At 39.4% G+C, this 18,525-nt stretch overlaps 1 protein-coding gene and 1 pseudogene across 14 annotated transcripts in view; one reads left to right on the top strand and one right to left on the bottom strand.

Moving 5' to 3' along the window:
- Positions 1–18,525, top strand: part of DLAT (dihydrolipoamide S-acetyltransferase) — a 38,997-nt gene that overhangs the window by 6,805 nt on the left and 13,667 nt on the right. For 8 of the 14 annotated variants that reach the window (NM_001372042.1, NM_001372031.1, NM_001931.5 and 5 more), the window contains 6 exons: positions 1,192–1,318; positions 5,061–5,248; positions 7,032–7,185; positions 11,254–11,321; positions 12,926–13,018; positions 13,651–13,758. In NM_001372042.1, coding sequence (NP_001358971.1) covers positions 1,192–1,318; positions 5,061–5,248; positions 7,032–7,185; positions 11,254–11,321; positions 12,926–13,018; positions 13,651–13,758 — 738 coding nt within the window. The remainder of the gene's footprint in view (positions 1–1,191; positions 1,319–5,060; positions 5,249–7,031; positions 7,186–11,253; positions 11,322–12,925; positions 13,019–13,650; positions 13,759–18,525) is intronic. The other 6 variants (NM_001372032.1, NM_001372040.1, NR_164072.1 and 3 more) reach the window with 6 other exon arrangements.
- Positions 287–386, bottom strand: RNU6-893P (RNA, U6 small nuclear 893, pseudogene; annotated as a pseudogene).

Below are 18,525 nucleotides of genomic sequence, written 5' to 3' on the forward strand. Positions count from 1 at the left end.
TGATCATCATGCCACTGCACTCCAGGCTGGGCAACAGAGTAAGACTCCATCTCAAAAAAAAAAAAAATTATCAAATAAAATTCTGTGTAAGAATTCTGTGTACATATATTATATACAACAAGTTGTTTTGAAATATGTATATATTGTGGAATGGCTAGATTGAGCTAATTTATATATGCATTACTTTATAGACTTATCTTTTAGGCCACTTAAAAATCTACTGTCAGGAATTTACAAGAATACAATACATTGTTATTAACTATTGTCACCAAATAATGTTTTTTTTTTTAATATGGAATGCTTCACGAATTTGTTGTCCTTGCGCAGGGGCCATGCTAATCTCTATATCGTTCCAATTTTAGTATATGTGTTGCTGAAGCGAGCACAGAACAGTTCTTAATATTACGTTTTTATCTTGGAAAGATATCTGGTAAGGTTGGGACAAATGCAGTTTCCTGTGGGTAAAAAATAGGTAGATGCTAAGTACAGAGCGCAGTAAAATTTTAACAGAATGGTTTGGACCAAGGTCATTTTGTGAAAATGAAAAACTTCTTGGTTAAAAAAAAATGAAGTCTGGGCGCGGTGGCTCACGCCTGTAATCCCAGCACTTTGGGAGGCCAGGGCGGGCGGATTACTTGTGGATGGGCGTTCAGAGACCAGCCTGGCCAACATGGTAAAACCCCATCTCTACAAAAATACAAAAATTAGTGGGCATGATGGCACCCGCCTGTAATCCAGCTACTCGGGAGGCTGAGGCAGGAGAATCACTTGAAACCAGGAGGTGGAGGTTGCAGTGAGCCGAGATTGCGCCATTGCTCTCCAGCCTGGGGGACAGAGCAAGACTCTGTCTCAAAATAAAAATAAAAATAAAAATAGATGAAAAGATGCTCCATACTTAGATGTTGAGAAATTAATTTTGACTGTCTGAAAGAAATCTTTCCCATGTGCTTGTTGCATTTAACTTGGAGTGTGTGTTAGAGTGTGGGCGAGAGTATAAGAGTATGGGTCAGAGTATGAGATTTGAAGGATGATTTACCTGGTGGGAAGCTATTGAGGTGTGAAGCTTTTGCTGTGGTGAGTATTTGGATTATCATAGTCACCATCATTCTATGAAACCACATAAGTCTGCCAGACTTTTATTATGTAGAAGTCTTCCTGGTATTAAGCAATAATATGTGTTTGTTTCTGCAGGTACTTCTTCCTGCCCTCTCTCCCACCATGACCATGGGCACAGTTCAGAGATGGGAAAAAAAAGTGGGTGAGAAGCTAAGTGAAGGAGACTTACTGGCAGAGATAGAAACTGACAAAGCCACTATAGGTGAGATTTCTTCAGCTCTTAATGGTTGAGGCACTGAGTTTCCCAATGAGGAAGAGGATTGCCATTCTTTCCTATAATGAGTGAGTGATAATATGAAAACTTTATAATTCTTAGGATTCATTTTCTGGGACAGAATATTTTATTTTTATTTAGTTATATGTATTCTTTAGTTTTTATTTATTTATTTGTTTATTTGCTTATTTTTCAGACAGGGTCTTAATCTGTTGCCCAGGCTGGAGTGCGGTGGCAAGATCATAGCTCATTGTAGCCTTGAACTCCTGGGCTTATGCCCAAATGATCCTCCTGCTTTAGCCTCACAAGTAGGTAGGACTACAGGCCTGAACCACCACACCTAGCTGATTTTTTAAATTTTTTGTAGAGATGGGGTCTCACTTTATTGCCCAGGCTGGTTTTGAACTCCTGGCTCAAGCGATCCTCCTGCCTTGGCCTCTCAAAGTGCTGGGACTCCAAGCGTGAGCCCCTGTTCCTGGCCCAGCATAATTTATAACAAAAATAATGCGTAGTCAGATTTGTCAGTTCCATCCTGTGCTCACTGAATCAAAGGCAATCAATCTGTCAATTCACAGATTATTTTTAGGCCCAAGTTTGCTTCTTGGCCTTATTATGTTACTGAGAAGCTATATCAGAATTGCTGCTGTCTAAACTAGGCAAAGGAAGTCAAGAAGAAACAGGAGAAAATCACTTCCATGGCAGGATAATAGCAAAGAATTTAAGATGACTTTGAGGGAAAACTGAAACCAGGGTTGAGATTGTTTTCATAGTTTGAGAATGACTGATAGAATGTATGTGTGTAATATATATATGTTCAGATATGTCATATGTCCACATATCTCCTTCTTAATTCATTTTTAGGCTAAAAAAACCCATATAGACAATAATATATTTATTATTATTATTTTTTTTTTTTTTGAGACGGAGTCTCGCTGTGTTGCCCAGGCTGGAGTGCAGTGGCGCAGTCTCAGCTCACTGCAAGCTCCACCTCCTGGGTTCACGCCATTCTCCTGCCTCAGCCTCCCGAGTAGCTGGGACTACAGGTGCCCGCTGCCACGCCTGGCTAATTTTTTGTATTTTTAGTAGAGATGGGGTTTCACTGTGTTAGCCAGGATGGCCTTGATCTCCTGACCTCGTGATCCACCTGTCTTGGCCTCCCAAAGCGCTGGGATTACAGGCGTGAGCCATGGCGATTTGTAGTATTATGAATTTCTTCTCTCTGCACCCCCGCTTTTTCTTTTTTTTTTTTGAGACAGAGTTTTGCTCTGTCACCCAGGCTTGAGTACAGTGGTGCGATCTTGGCTTACTGCAGCCTCCGCCTCCTGGGTTCAAGCAATTCTCCTGCCTCAGCCTCCCGAGTAGCTGGGACTACAGGCATGCACCACCATGCCTGGCTAATTTTTTGCATTTTTAGTAGAGATGGAGTTTCACCATGTTGGCCAGGCTGGTCTCGAGCTCTTTAACCTCAGGTGATCTGCCTGCCTCGGCCTCCCAAAGTGCTGGGATTACAGGCATAAGCCACCGCACCCAGCCTCTCTGCTTCATAATCACCACCAAAGGGAAGCCTTTCCCAAAGATGTAATGGGAGGTACTGGGCATCCTCTGCCTTGGTTGTTTTCAGATTGTGTTCTTCAAATCCCATCATTCCTTTAAGGCACCTTGAGGCAAAGGGGGAATTAAAGAGCAGGACCTTACAGCCCTGCCTCCCTGCCTTACTTCCAGCAGAGCAGTTCTTTTCTATCTTTTTGTATTTTGTGCTTCCCCATAAATTTTATTTGAAGAAAGGATTCTGTTTCTTAAAAACACAGAAACTTTGGAAACAGTAGTTCTGCTTCACCATTTAACTTGAATACCAGTGTCACTATAGAGACTAGTCACTAGAGAAGTGTTACCTTGGTTGAACTTTGAAGTCTATTGTGGCCCAGGAGCCTTTTCATTTTAAACACTTCTTTTTTTTTTTTTTGGAAACAGAGTCTGGCTCTGTTGTCCAGGCTGGAGTGCGGTGGCGTGATCTCGGCCCACCACAACCTCTGCCTCCTGGGTTCAAGCGATTCTCCTGCCTGAGCCTCCTGAGTAGCTGGGACTACAGGTGCATGCCACTACGCCCGGCTAATTTTTGTATTTTTAGTAGAAATGTGGTTTCACTATGTGGGCCAGGCTGGTCTTGAACTCCTGACCTCGTGATCTGACTGCCTTGTGCCTCCCAAAGTGCTGGGATTACAGGCGTGAGCCACCACCGCACCCAGCCTTTTTTTTTTTTTTTTTTGAGATAGAGTCTTGCTTTGTCGCCCAGGCTGGAGTGCAATGGCATGATCTTGGCTCACTGCAATTTCCACCTCCCGGGTTCAAGCAATTCTCCTGCCTCAGCTGCCCAAGTAGCTGGGATTACAGGCGCCTGCCACCATGCCTGGCTAATTTTTGTATTTTTAGTGGAGATGGGGTTTCACCATGTTGGCCAGGCTGGTCTTGAACTCCTGACCTCAGGTAATCCACCTACCTTGGCCTCCCAAAGTGCTGGGATAACAGGCGTGAGCCACCGTGCCCAGCCTTAAACATATATATATATATCTCCAGACTTAAACATATATATATGTGTGTGTATATATATATATGTGTGTGTATATATGTGTGTGTGTGTGTGTGTGTGTGTGTGTGTGTGTTTTTTTTTTTTTTTTTTTTTTTTTTTTTGAGACGGAGTTTCGCTCTTGTTGCCCAGGCTGGAGTGCAATGGCACGATCTCGGCTCACCACAACCTCCACCTCCTGGGTTCAAGTGATTTTCTTGCCTCAGCCTCCCGAGTAGCTGGGATTACAGGCATGCGCCACCATGCCTGGCTAATTTTGTATTTTTAGTAGAGACGGGGTTTCTCCACGTTGGTCAGGCTGGTCTCGAACTCCCGACCTCAGGTGATCCACCCGCCTCGGTCTCCCAAAGTGCTGGGATTACAGGCATGAGCCGCCGCGCCCAGCCTAAACATATTTTTTATTGGGTATTCTCAGCTGGGAAATGGAAGGATTCATCAAAGATGTGTTCATCAAGGAGAGGCACAACAGTACAGAAAGCCAATGGCTTCTTTTAGTTTTACTTTTGCAATCCTAAATGTTTAAGTTCTTTGCAAGGAAGGCAGTAGTTGAATAAAATATAAGTTGTCAACACCATAGAAATCCCAGTAAAGCTGTAATTCTTTACATTGAAATACTTGGTATAATATCAAGTATAACCTCTTTGAAAAGTTCCAAAGATGCTTTTAGGGCTGAAATCCAACATTAGTATCTAGGTTGGTAGCTCCCTTAATTAGGCATGTATGTGGTTCTTATCTTTAGCAGCATAGCTGACACCATCTTAGAGTCCTGTGAGTCTGCATGGGGACTGTCCTTGGAGATTTTTTAATAACTTTGAGAACTAACCACTGTCTGTAATCTTTCATAGTTTTATTGAACAGATTTTTATTTGGCATTTACTTTGTACCAGGTTGTATTATTTCTAAGAACTTGAAAAATATTAATCTGTTTAAATGTATAACATCCCAGTACCAATCCAGTGAGATTGGTACTATTATTATCCCCGTATTGTAGGTAAAGAAACCAAGACACAGAAGGTTAAATAGGTTGCAAAAAAGGCTATATAGCTAGCTTGAATGAGAAAAATCACTTTACTTAAAACTGTGCTGTGAGTTTGGAGGGATAGTGGAATCTCTTAAGTCCCATAATGTTTTTTCTTTCTATTTAAGGTTTTGAAGTACAGGAAGAAGGTTATCTGGCAAAAATCCTGGTCCCTGAAGGCACAAGAGATGTCCCTCTAGGAACCCCACTCTGTATCATTGTAGAAAAAGAGGCAGATATATCAGCATTTGCTGACTATAGGCCAACCGAAGTAACAGATTTAAAACCACAAGTGCCACCACCTACCCCACCCCCGGTAGGTATGCTTCTAGAATTCAGGAAACACTTACCTTGTTCATCTCTAAATTAAGGAGTTTTGATTAGATGATATCCTAGGTTCCTTCCACCTCCAAGATTCTATGACTGAGGAGGGAGATAGTTTATTAACATTTGTGGAGACCTATAGTGTTTGTTGTACTGCACTGTTCACCTAATGGTTGATAGTTTGGGCCTTGTAGCTTTTTTCTTCCTGCTATCTAGAGTCCTGCTGAGAACAAAGCTGAGTGACATGTTCTCTTTCTGCTTTAGATACAGATACCATGCTTGTGGAAAGTAAGGCTTCATTGCCCCACCCTTTTTTTTTTTTTTTAAGAGACAAGGTCTCACCCTGTTGCTGAGGCTGGAGTGCAGTGGTGCAATCATAGCTCACTTCATTGCCCATTTATTATTAAATATACTGAATAATCTCTGTCACTTGAAATCCTCTTGTTATTGACTTAGTAGGTCAAGCATATATTTGTGATACAGTGGAACCTTGACATGACTTGTTTTGCCTAGAATTTATTATATCACCAAATACTTGATACACTATATAACTATAACCTGAACTTGTATAACTCCAACCAGAGATAACACTGACAGTGAAGCTTCAGTGATTCTCACAGATGCTAGAATCATGTGAGTTTAAACTAGGTAAACATTTCTATAAGAGAAAAGTTGATTTCTGACTACTGTACATTTGTGGGAAGCTGGCAAGTAGCATTGTTGTTGGATTTCTTTTGTTGTTGTTGTTGAGACGGAGTCTTGCTCCGTCACCCAGGCTGGCGTGCAGTGGCGTGATCTTGGCTCACTGCAGCCTATGCCTCCCGGGTTCAAGCAATTCTCCTGCCTCGACCTCCCGAGTAGCTGGGATTACAGGTGTTAGCCACCATGCCCGGCTAATTTTTTTATTTTTAGTAGAGAAGGGGTTTCACCGTGTTGGCCAGGCTGGTCACGAACTCCTGACCTCAGGTGATCCACCCACCTCGGCCTCCCAAAGTGCTGGGATTACAGGTGTGAGCCACCACACCTGGCCGTATTTCTTAAGATACTTTTCAACATGGGGCCTTACAGCATAATTTTATATTTTGAAATTAGCTGGCTGGGTGTGGTGGCTCATGCCAGTAATCCCAGCACTTTGGGAGGCTGAGGCAGGTGGATCGCTTGAGGTCAGGAGTTCAAGACCAGCCTGGCCAACATGGTGAAACCCCATCTCTACTGAAAATACAAAAAATTAGCTGGGCGTGGTGGTGCGTGCCTTTAATCCCAGCTACTTGGGAGGCTGAGGCAGGAGAATTGCTTGAACCCAGGAGGCGGAGGTTGCAGTGAGCCAAGTTTGCGCCACTGCACTCCAGCCTGGGTGACAGAGCAAGACTCTGTCTCAAATAAAAAGAAAAAAAAAAAAGAAGTTAGGATAATTAAAAATAAAAATCATGTTGGTGATGTAAAAGAATGCGAATAAAGAAGTGGTAAGAGATTAAAGTGAAGAAAGGCTGTAGAATACTATACACTGATTGGCAATATTCAATTCTGTGCTTCATGTTGTTATGGAATAAGGTAACTGTTCTGTCTTTGATATAGAAGTATATTGTTCTCGCTGTTCGTATTACTACATTATGTTGGTTAAGCTGGCGAAAAGTACATTATGATCTTTGGAAAAATGAAAGTTATTAATATTTAATTAAAATAGTTTTAATTTATTAATAAGATGTAAACTTTTAATCTTTCAGACCAGTCTTTGAAGTGGTGAATTAAAACAATTTGTAATTTTTTTTCAAAAGGTGGCCGCTGTTCCTCCAACTCCCCAGCCTTTAGCTCCTACACCTTCAGCACCCTGCCCAGCTACTCCTGCTGGACCAAAGGGAAGGGTGTTTGTTAGCCCTCTTGCAAAGAAGTTGGCAGTAGAGAAAGGGATTGATCTTACACAAGTAAAAGGTAAATCTGTTTCTATAGAATGGACTTTATAAAGTTAAAATTTAGTTGAATTTCCTCCTTAAGACTTGCAAGTACAACTATGTATAGCCGTACTTATAATTGGGATAGTAGGGACAATCATTAATAATTCCTTCAGAAGGGAGAAATAGTTCTTTTGTTGCCACCACAGAGTAGGGAAACTTTTACTGAGCTTTATTTACTCTGCCTAGAATCTACCCATACACTTTAGATACCTTTTTTTTTCCTCTTCTATTCATGGAAACTGCTTGTTTGGTGAAAGTATATGTAAAATTTGGTTATGGGACTTGATTATGTAATAAGAAACCTCTGTTAGTGCTTGGTTGACTGTAGCAATAAGCAAAGCAAAATAAAATTTGAAGTTGGGGTGATTTGGAATGACTTAATAAAATTCATATAAAACAGAACTAGAGCTCCCTGAAGGCAAGGGAAAACGCCTTACTTGTCTGTCTGCCGCCAAAGAAAAAATATAGCTTTGTGATAAGAGCATGGGGCCTGGAATCAGACCACCTAGCATTTAATCCTGGCTTTATAATTTTCTATGTAATATGTTTTCCAGTGAATTACTTAGATTGTATGTCCTTATGTCAATTACTTTTCTATCTGTAAAACTGAGGTACTGTACATCGTATAGATTGTGAGAGTTAAATGAGCTATAACAGGTGAAGTGCTTAGAACTGTATCTAGCATATAAGTACTCAATACATGTTAGTTGTCATTCATATTGATATTACTGCCTGGTGCTTAAATAAGTTTTTTTGAATTAAACTTAAGCTAAAATTTAGTGTAGGATAACTAAGGTACTTATTTGGAATGGGGGGAAGTTATTATGCTTGGAACTTGGTTTGATGGCTTGTACTATGTGTCAGTCATTTAACTTACCATACTTAATGTACACAACACTTCTTGAAGTAAGAATTATCATTCCTTATTTTCTGGATAAGAAAACAGACTCTCAGACTCTTCAGGGTTCTTCCTTCCTGTTAAATAGTAAAGTTGCAGTGTAACTCTAGATTTGTTTAACTCTAAAGCCTGTTTCTTCACACTACCCTATCCTGCCTTCTGTTTTGATGCTCTGCCATCCATAATTACTAAAGAAAAATATGCTTATTTCCCCAATTTTCTAGTTATGGGTACTCAATGGTGGTTATCCCGTATCTGCAATTTGCTATCTTGTAGTTAGAAGTCAAGCCAATCCCAAGACACAAGAGTAGAATGTTGTAAATTTTTTGGACCTCAGAGATTCTTGTAATATTGGAAGATTCTTTTTTTTCCATCTTAATGCCATTTCAGTAGTATATTGCTATCATATATGTATATATGATTAGAATCAGGGACAGCAGTGTAAGTTGGAGTAACTTTTAAAGGGAGAAAGGACTGGGTTAATAATTATATCTAAAGAATTTAGACAAGCAAAGAAGGACCATTTATTAGATATTCAGCAATACTCGTTACCTTACTAAAGATATAAGTGGAAAATCCCTTAGGTATGAGCTGAGAGGAGTGTTAAAAAAAAAAAAGAAAGAAAGAAAATCCCACTGTTCTTACTATGCAGGCAGAGTTAGGTGATAAATATCATCGACTGCTATCTACACATCAGACACTTGTTCATCAGATGGATAAGATTTCAGTTTCAGTTGCTTATATGACCAACAATAAAGAATTAAATGAACAGAAAGGGAGTATAGCATAGTAGTTAAGAGTGTGAGCTCTGTAGCTGGAATGCTTGGGTATGAACCTCAGCTCTTTATACTAGCTGTGTGACCTTTTGTGTCACAATTTCTTTGTATATAAAAACATTAGGTTTAATGGTTGTGAGGTTTAAATAAGTTAACCAGTGCCTGTACAGAGAAAGCATATCTAGGTATTAGCTATAATGATAATAATATTTTTGTTATTAAATAAGATGATTTGAGTGCTAAGAAAGAAAGAAACTCAGTGATATACTAGTGAGTGAAAGGGTGAATGGATATATGTGCAGTCATGACTACTTTTAGACAGGTTGGTTGGGAGATCTTTTTGATGAGGTGACATTTGATTTGTTTTGAAAGATAAGAAGGAGGCAGCTTGAGCCAACCATGTGAAGAACTGGGGAAAGATCATTTTGGATAGAGAGACTAGCTGTACACAGTCTGAAATGGGAAAGAGTTTAGCATGTCTGAGGAACATAAAAGAGGCCAGTGTTGGCCAGGCGCAATGGCTCACGCCTGTAATCCCAGCACTTTGGGAGGCCGAGGCAGGTGGATCACAGGTCAGGAGATGGAGACCATCCTGGCTAACACGGTGAAACCTCGTCTCTACTAAAAATACAAAAAAATTAGCTGGGCATGGTGGCAGGCGCCTGTGGTCCCAGCTACTCGGGAGGCTGAGGCAGGAGAATGGCGTGAACCTGGGAGGCCAAACTTGCAGTGAGCCGAGATAGTGCCACTGCACTCCAGCCTGGGCGACAGAGCAAGACTCCGTCTCAAAGAAAAAAAAAAAAGGCCAGTGTTAATGAAGCATAATGAGCAAAGGGTCTAGTAGGAGATGAGATTGGAAAAAAACAGGGATGAGAACATAAATGACCTTATAGATTATGGTAAAGAGTTTGAATTTTATTTAAAGTACTTGAGGAAGCCATTGAGAAATTTAAGCAAAGAAGTGAAATAAAATGATTATGTTTTGAAAAGATCATTTTGGTTGCTCCATGGAAATGGATGAAACGTTTATATAGTTTATGTTTGACAAGATCCCTACTTTTTGTTACCCATAGTCCAGTGTTGTTCCCTTTATACCATATTGCTTTATGATGGCCTGTTGTGCCGCCCAAGAGAGATAGGGAAAAGGGTTTACAAGGTTTCAACTAACTCCTAAGTCAGGAAATTCTTGTGGGTGGCTGAAGCTTAGCATAAGGCAGGTGGTACTATGGATTTCCTCCTCTTGAGGGACTGTGGTGTCTAGATCAGCCTTGGTTGTAAGGGGAGGTTATGGTTTCTGTCTTTTACAAAGGAGAGAAATCTAATAGGGGTACTACCACCTCTGTTCTAGAGCTCCTAGTGAGGATAAATACAATCCTAGCCAACTCAGTTTTCGTAATGAAGGAAAGGAATTGGGAAGAACTACACACAACAAGAGTCCTTTTTAAAGTCTGCCTTGGGGGAAGATGAATCAGTTTGACCAAATTTTTCCTAGAAGTGGGCCAGTGTAAAAGGTATTCTATAATAATAACTAAATTCTGAATCTCCGTAGAATTAAAGGTCAAGATTATCTACTTGGGTCCAAAATTAAACCTAAGAGGCTGTAGGTGGGAGGAGGGAGGAAATTGAATATAAGTAAAATTAAACCTACTGAGAGAACTTTGAAGATCCTTCCTCATGTGTGACATTGCACCTTTTTCCTTCATTTCCTTTAACACGGGCCAGTTTAGAGCCTTGGCTACTGTGAAAAAGCTATGAGTCATAGAGACCACATAAGGAATGAATGATTCTAAAGATAAGATAATTGCAGTAAAGAGTTATTCGTGCTATTTTGGGGTGAAAAAATCGACTTGATTTGTCAAAACAATTATTGTTATACCTGTAAATTCTGTATAAAAGGAATTCTTTATGGTCACATAAATCCAGAACCCAAATGAAATCTATTTCACGGCTTAGGAATGGTTTTTTGGAGCTAACCAGGAGGAGGCAGCTAGTTTCCCTTTTGGAGATATAAACTGTGCTCGGCATTATCCTTATGCCACATTTCCCAATTTAAAAGTAAGGAAGATGAAAAAAATTAAGTACAACTTGGATAAAACTCTAAAAGAGAAATACATAAAGGAATATTTGCAGTAGTTAAAAAGAAAAGACCCACTCCAGATCACACACTGGTACTCTGTGTGGATTAAAATTAATAGTTGACAAAAGCTGGTATTTGTAGGTAGCACCTTAAGGGGTAGGGTTAAGGCTGTGAACCTTTCAGAATGTTTTTGGTAGTAAACCCTTAGGAGCTTGCAGTTTAGGATCACAGCGTTGATCTCCTTGGGGAACCAATGGTATGTCATCATGTATGTGATATTTATGTCTCTTACAGGGACAGGACCAGATGGTAGAATCACCAAGAAGGATATCGACTCTTTTGTGCCTAGTAAAGTTGCTCCTGTGAGTTATGTGTAGCTCTTACTTTTTTTGCAGTTTGTCTCTACAGCCTGTTAGACCATTTCATACATTATTTATGAACGAAATAGCTCAACCAAGATTGTTTTCTTCTAATTTCAGTGGTTTAATAATACAGTCATCCCTCGGTACCCATGAGAGGTTGGTTCCAGGAGCCCCCTTGTATACCAAAATTCGCAAATGCTTAAGTCTCTTATATAAAATAGTGTAGTATTTGTATATAACTTACCCACATCCTCTCAAATACTTTAAATCATCTCTAGATTACTTATAATATTAAATACAAGGTAAATACTATGTAAATAGTTGTTATATTTTATTGCTTAGGAAATAATAATAAGGACAAAAAGTCTGTACTTGTGCAGTTCAGATGCAACCATCTGTTTTTTTCTGGAATATTTTTGATTTGCCTTTGGTTGAATCCAGTGATGCAGAACTTATGGATATGGAGGGCCAAGTGTATTTAGATATTTGTGTGCTATCATTTATATACAAGATCAAAGATGATATACTACATTGACATGTATTCCACATTATGTTTTGAGCTAGTTAATCGGTTTTTGCTTTGAAATAAAAGATTTGTTCTTTTTTTCTTTTTCAAAATATTTTAAAGTACAGTTGAATGAGTTGTTTTTGGTGTTTGGTTTTTTTTGTTTGTTTGTTTTTGAGACAGTCTCACTCTGTCGCCCAGGCTGGAGTGCAGTGGCGCGATCTTGGCTCATTGCAACCTCTGCCTCCTGGATTCAGGCGATTCTCATGCCCCAGCCTCCCAGGTGGCTGGGACTACAGGTGCATGCCATCACACCTGGCTAATTTTCGTATGTTTAGTAGAGACAGGGTTTCGCCATGTTGGCCAGCCTGGTCACGAACTCCTGGCCTCAAGTGAGTCATTGTGAGGCTCAAGTGAGCCTCCCAACCCCCTTTTCTTAACATTGTTTAGGATAATGGATTAGCTTGTTTATACTTATTTATTATTCCTTGCAACTTAAGAATGCTTCCATTGCTTTTCTTGAACATAATTTTGCAAAAACAAAATTATTTTGACACAAACTGGTCATTGAACATACTCTGATACAAAGAAAAATGACACTTAAAACATGACTTCAGAATTCTAAGTAAAAAAATTAAAACTCTTAAAACAAGCAGAAGTCTCTTTTGCTCACTGGGGACAGAAATAGGTATTCTATAAAGCTTAGTTTTTAGACTGGACATGGTGGCTCATGCTTGTAACCCCAGCACTTTGGGAAGCCAAGGTGGGTGGATCACTTGAGCCCAGGCATTTGAGACCAGCCAGGGCAACGTGGCTAATTTCCGTCTCTACTAGAAATCCAAAAAAATTAGCTGGGCATGTTGGCGTGCACCTGTAGTCCCAGCTACTCTAGGGGCTGAGATGGGAGGATTGCTTGAGCCCAGGAGGTTGAGGCTGCAGTGAACCATGATTGAGCCACTGCATTCTAGCCTGGGTGACAGAGCAAGACTCTGTCTCAAAAGACAAAAAAAAAAAACTGCATAGTCACTGGCAGTCTTTCCCAGGTACTTACGCTAAGATTGAATCACAGTTACTAAGAGCTTTTTCTTTCCTCCCATAGGCTCCGGCAGCTGTTGTGCCTCCCACAGGTCCTGGAATGGCACCAGTTCCTACAGGTGTCTTCACAGATATCCCAATCAGCAACATTCGTCGGGTAAGAGAATTACCATCATCTGGAATCAGCTGTTAGGGGCATCTTTAGGTTGTTTAGTTGCTTCCATAGTTTTTAACACATTAACAGAGGCTTTTTAAGTTGGGAATATTGGATGATTACTTTAAGGGAAGTTTTGGCCAACTGAATACTTGAATCACTTTGTTCCTATTAGAAGGGCCAGGCGCAGTAGCTCATGCCTGTAATCCCAGCACTTTGGGAGGCCAAAGCGGGCAGATCACAAGGTCCAGACTTCGAGACCAGCCTGGCCAACATAGTGAAACACCCCGTCTCTACTAAAGATACAAAAATTAGCCGGGCATGGTGGCACATGCCTGTAGTCCCAAGTACTCGGGACGCTGAGGCAGGAGAATTGCTTGAACTTGGGAAATGGAGGTTGTGGTGAGCCGAGATCGCACCACCGCACTCCAGCCTGGGCAACATAGCGAGACTCCATCTCAAAAAAAAAAAAAAATCTAGGAGGTGTTATATTATGGCGGAGTCCTCCATCTTTCAATTATAATAATGCTTGAGGTAAGTATTAGCAGAGAGTAAGGTGAAGAGACAAACAGAGCCCTAAATTAGTTAAGGTCTTAACTCAAGATAATTGATTTTTTAAATCTCTTTGGTTTCAGGTTATTGCACAGCGATTAATGCAATCAAAGCAAACCATACCTCATTATTACCTTTCTATCGATGTAAATATGGGAGAAGTTTTGTTGGTACGGAAAGAACTTAATAAGGTAAAAGTTCTGAAAATTCCAACTTTCTAAGTTATAAAAATTTTGTCTTTCCCCACCAAACATTTATATTTTTGTCCATATATTTTGTTACAATATATCAGTTGGTGGTTACTTTCTTGATCTTGTCCTTTGAAGCACAAGATTTTAAATATTGGTTATGTCCACTTTTATCAATTTTTTTCTTCTGTGCTTTTGGTATTATATCTAAGAAACTATTACCTAGTCTAAGGTCATGAAGATTTATACTTTTGTTTCCTTGTAACAGTTTTATACTTTTAGTTCTTATATTCAGGTCTTTGCTCTATTTTGAGTTAATTTTTTATAGGTGGTGTGAGATAGGAATCCAACCATTGTTTTGCATGTGGACATTTATTCTTTCATCCCAGCACCATCTTTCCCCATCGAATTGTCTTGGTATCCTTGTCAAAATTAATCATATATGTGAGAATTTTATTTCCAGATTTTTTTTTTTTTGTAGATCTTGTTATTTTTTGTTTTGTTTTGTTTTATTATACTTTAAGTTCTGGGATACATGTGCAGAACGTGCAGGTTTGTTACATAGGTATACACGTGCCATGGTGGTTTGCTGCACCCACCAACCCATCATCTACATTAGGTATTTCTCCTAATGCTATCCCTCCCCTTAGCCCCCCACCCCCCTACAGGTCCTGGTGTGTGATGTTTCCCTCCCTGTGTCCATGTGTTCTCATTGTTCAACTCCCACTTACAAGTGAGAACATGCGGTGTTTGGTTTTCTGTTCCTGTGTTAGTTTGCTGAGAATGATGGTTTCCAGCTTCATCCATGTCCCTGCAAAGGACACAAACTCATCCTTTTTTTTATGGCTGCATAGTATTCCATGGTGTGTATGTGCCACATTTTCTTTATCCAGTCTATCATTGATGGGCATTTGGCTTGGTTCCAAGTCTTTGCTATTGGGAACAGTGCTGCAGTAAACATATGTGTGCATGTGTCTTTATAGTAGAATGGTTTATAATCCTTTGGGTCTATACCCAGTAATGGGATTTCTGGGTCAAATGGTATTTCTGGTTCTAGATCCTTGAGGAACCGCCACACTGTCTTCCACAATGGGTTGAACTAATTTACACTCCTACCAACAGTGTAAAAGCGTTCCTATTTCTCCACATTCCAGCATCTGTTGTTTCCTGACTTTTTAGTGATCGCCATTGTAACTGGCGTGAGATGGTAACTCACTGTGGTTTTGATTTGCATTTCTTTAATGACCAGTGATGATGAGCTTTTTTTCATGTTTGTTGGCCACATAAATGTCTTCTTTTGAGAAGTGTCTGTTCATATCCTTTGCCCACTTTTTGATGGGGTCATTTGTTTTTTTCTTGTAAATTTGTTTAAGTTCCTTATAGATTCTGGATATTAGCCCTTTGTTAGATGGATAGATTTCAAAAATTTTCTCCCATTCTGTAGGTTGCCTGTTCACTCTGATGATAGTTTCTTTTGCTGTGCAGAAGCTCTTTAGTTTAATTCGACCCCATTTGTCTATTTTGGCTTTTGTTGCCATTGCTTTTGTTGTTTTAGTCATGAAGTCTTTGCCCATGCCTGTGTCCTGAATGGTATTGCCTAGGTTTTCTTCTAGGGTTTTTATGGTTTTAGGTCTTACGTTTAAGTCTTTAATCCATCTTCAGTTATTTTTTGTATAAGGTGTAAGGAAGGAGTCCAGTTTCAGTTTTCTACATATGGCTAGCCAGTTTTCCCAACATCATTGATTAAATAGGGAATCCTTTCCCCATTGCTTGTTGTTGTCAGGTTTGTCAAAAATCAGATGGTTGTAAATGTGTGGCATTATGTCTGAGGCTTCTGTTCTGTTCCATTGGTCTATATATCTGTTTTGGTACCAGTACCATGCTGTTTTGGTTACTGTAGCCTTATAGTATAGTTTGAAGTCAGGTAGCATGATGCCTCCAGCTTTGTTCTTTTTGCTTAGGATTGTCTTGGCTATACGGGCCCTTTTTTGGTTCCATATGAAATTTAAAGTAGTTTTTTTCTAATTCTGTGAAGAAAGTCAATGGTTGCTTGATGAAGATAGCATTGAATTTATAAATTACTTTGGGCAGTATGTCCATTTTCACGATATTGATTCTTCCTATGCATGAGCATGGAATGCTTTTCCATTTGTTTTTGTGTCCTCTCTTATTTCCTTGAGCAGTGGTTTGTAGTTCTCCTTGAAGAGGTCCTTCACATCCCTTGTAAGTTGTATTCCTAGGTATTCTATTCTTTTTATAGCAATTGTGAATAGGAATTCACTCACAATTTGGCTCTCTGTTTGTCTGTTATTGGCGTGTAGGAATGCTTGTGATTTTTGCACATTGATTTTGTATCCTGAGACTTCACTGAAGTTGCTTATCAGCTTAAGGAGATTTTGGACTGAGATGATGGGGTTTTCTAACTATACAATCATGTCATCTACAAACAGACAATTTGACTTCCTCTTTTTCTATTTGAATACTCTTTATTTCTTTCTCTTGCCTGATTGCCCTGGCCAGAACTTCCAATACTATGCTGAATAGGAGTGGTGAGAGAGAGCATCCTTGTCATGTGCCAATTTTTGAGACTGAGTCTCACTCTGTTGCCCAGACTGGGGTGCAGTGGCGTGATCTTGGCTTACTGCAACCTCCACCTTCCAGGTTCAAGCAATTCTCGTCCCTCAGCCTCCCGAGTAGCTGGGATTACAGGTATGAGCCACCAGGCATGGCTAATTTTTGTATTTTTAGTAGGGACAGGATTTCACCATGTTGGCCAGGCTGGTCTCGAACTCTTGACCTCAAATGATCCACCCACCTTGGCCTCCCAAAGTGCTGGAATTACAGCCATGAGCCCCCATGCCTGGCCTATTTCCAGGTTCTTAATTCCATTCCATTAATCTCTGTATACCCTTAATGTCAGTACCACAGTCTTGATTACTTTAGCTTTGTAATAAGTTGTAAAATCAGGAAACGTGAGTCATCTTTGTTCTTTTTTCTCAAGATTTTTTTTTTTTTTTTTTTTTTTTTTTAAAGACAGAGTCTTGCTCTGTCACCCAGGCTAGAGTGCAGTGGCGTGATCTTGGCTCACTGCCAGCTCTGCCTCCCGGGTTCATGCCATTCTCCTGCCTCAGCCTCCCAAGTAGCTGGGACTACAGACGCCCACCACCATGCCCGGCTAATTTTTTGTATTTTTAGTAGAGACGGGGTTTCACCGTGTTAGCCAGAATCAAGATTGTTTTGTCTGAGTCCCTTGCAATTCTAAGTGAATTTTAGGATTAGCTTGTAAATTTCTGCATTGAAGCCAGTTGACATTTTGATAAGGATTGATTGGATGTATCTGCTGATCAGTTTGGCAAGTGTTGCCATCCGAAGAATATAGTCTTTTCATCCATGAACATGTAGATGCCCCTGTATTAGTTAGGTGTTCTTCAGTCTCTTTCAACAGTTTTTTTATAGTTTTTCAGAGTGTAAGTTTTGCACTCTAAATTTGCATTTGTTAAACTTATTTCTAGGTATTTTATTCTTTTTGATACTACTCTAAGTGGAATTGTTTTCTAGATTTCATTTTCAGATTGTTCATTGCTACTATATAAAGGTATGATTGATTTTTTTTTTTTTTTAAGACTAGTCAGGTATACTAGTGAGAAGGGCGGAAGAGTAGAAAAGAAGTTAGATTTATAATGGACTCTGAGCAATCAATTGAGATAACAATTCATTTTTCTATATTGATCTTTTTTTTCATATACCTGCTGAAATGGGATCTATATTGACCTTGTATCCTGCAAACTTGCTGAAGTCATTTATTAGTTCTTACAGTTTTTTAGTGTATTTCTTAGGTTTTTCTGTAAACAAGATAATGTTATCTGCAAATAGAGATAATTTTACTTTTTTCATTTTGACCTGTATGCCTTTTATTTCCTTTCTTGCCTAATTGCTCTGGCTGGCGCCTCTAGGCAATGTTGAATAGGTGTAGCAGAAGTGAACATCTTGTCTTGTTCTCGATCTTTGGGAGAATAAGTCTTTGGTCATTAAATAGTTGTGAGGTTTCCATAGATCAGGTTGAGCAAGTTCCCTCCTGTTCCCAGTTAGTAAGAGTGTTTTGATCATGAAAAGGGGTATTGAATTTTATCAAATGCTCTTTCTGTGTCTGTTGAGATGATTATGTGTTTTTTGTCCTGTATTCTGTTAGGACATTATTACATTAATGGATTTTCAGATGTTAATGGAAATTTGCATTCTTGGGATAAATCAGATTTGATCATGGTGAATGATCCTTTTTATATATTGCTGGATTTTATTTGCTAGCGTTTTGTTGAAGATTTTTACATCTATATTCATAAGATATTAGTGTGTACTTTTTTTTTTTTTTCTTCTAATGTCGTCTTTGGTTTTGGTATCAGGCTAATCCCGGCCTTACAGAATGTGTGGGGAAGTGTTTCTTGCTCTTCTTTGATTTTTCTTTGAAAGAATTTGTGAGGAATTGATATTAATTCTTCTTTAATATTTGGTAGAATACTGACGAAGCCATTTGGGTCTAAGCTTTTCTACATGGGTAGTTTTTAAATTACCAGTTCAATCTCTTTGTTAGTTATAGGTCTATTCAGAGTTTTTGTTTCTCCTTGGTTCAGTTTTGGTAGCTTGTGTCTGTATGGTTGTTCATAGTATTCCCTATAATTCTTTTTACTTCTGTAAGGTAGATAGTAATGTCCCCTATTTCACTCCTAATTTTAGAAATTCTAGTCTTCTCTCCTCTTCTTGGTCAGTCTAACT

Source organism: Homo sapiens, chromosome 11, assembly GCF_000001405.40.
Source record: "Homo sapiens chromosome 11, GRCh38.p14 Primary Assembly".
Classification (NCBI taxonomy): domain Eukaryota; kingdom Metazoa; phylum Chordata; class Mammalia; order Primates; family Hominidae; genus Homo; species Homo sapiens.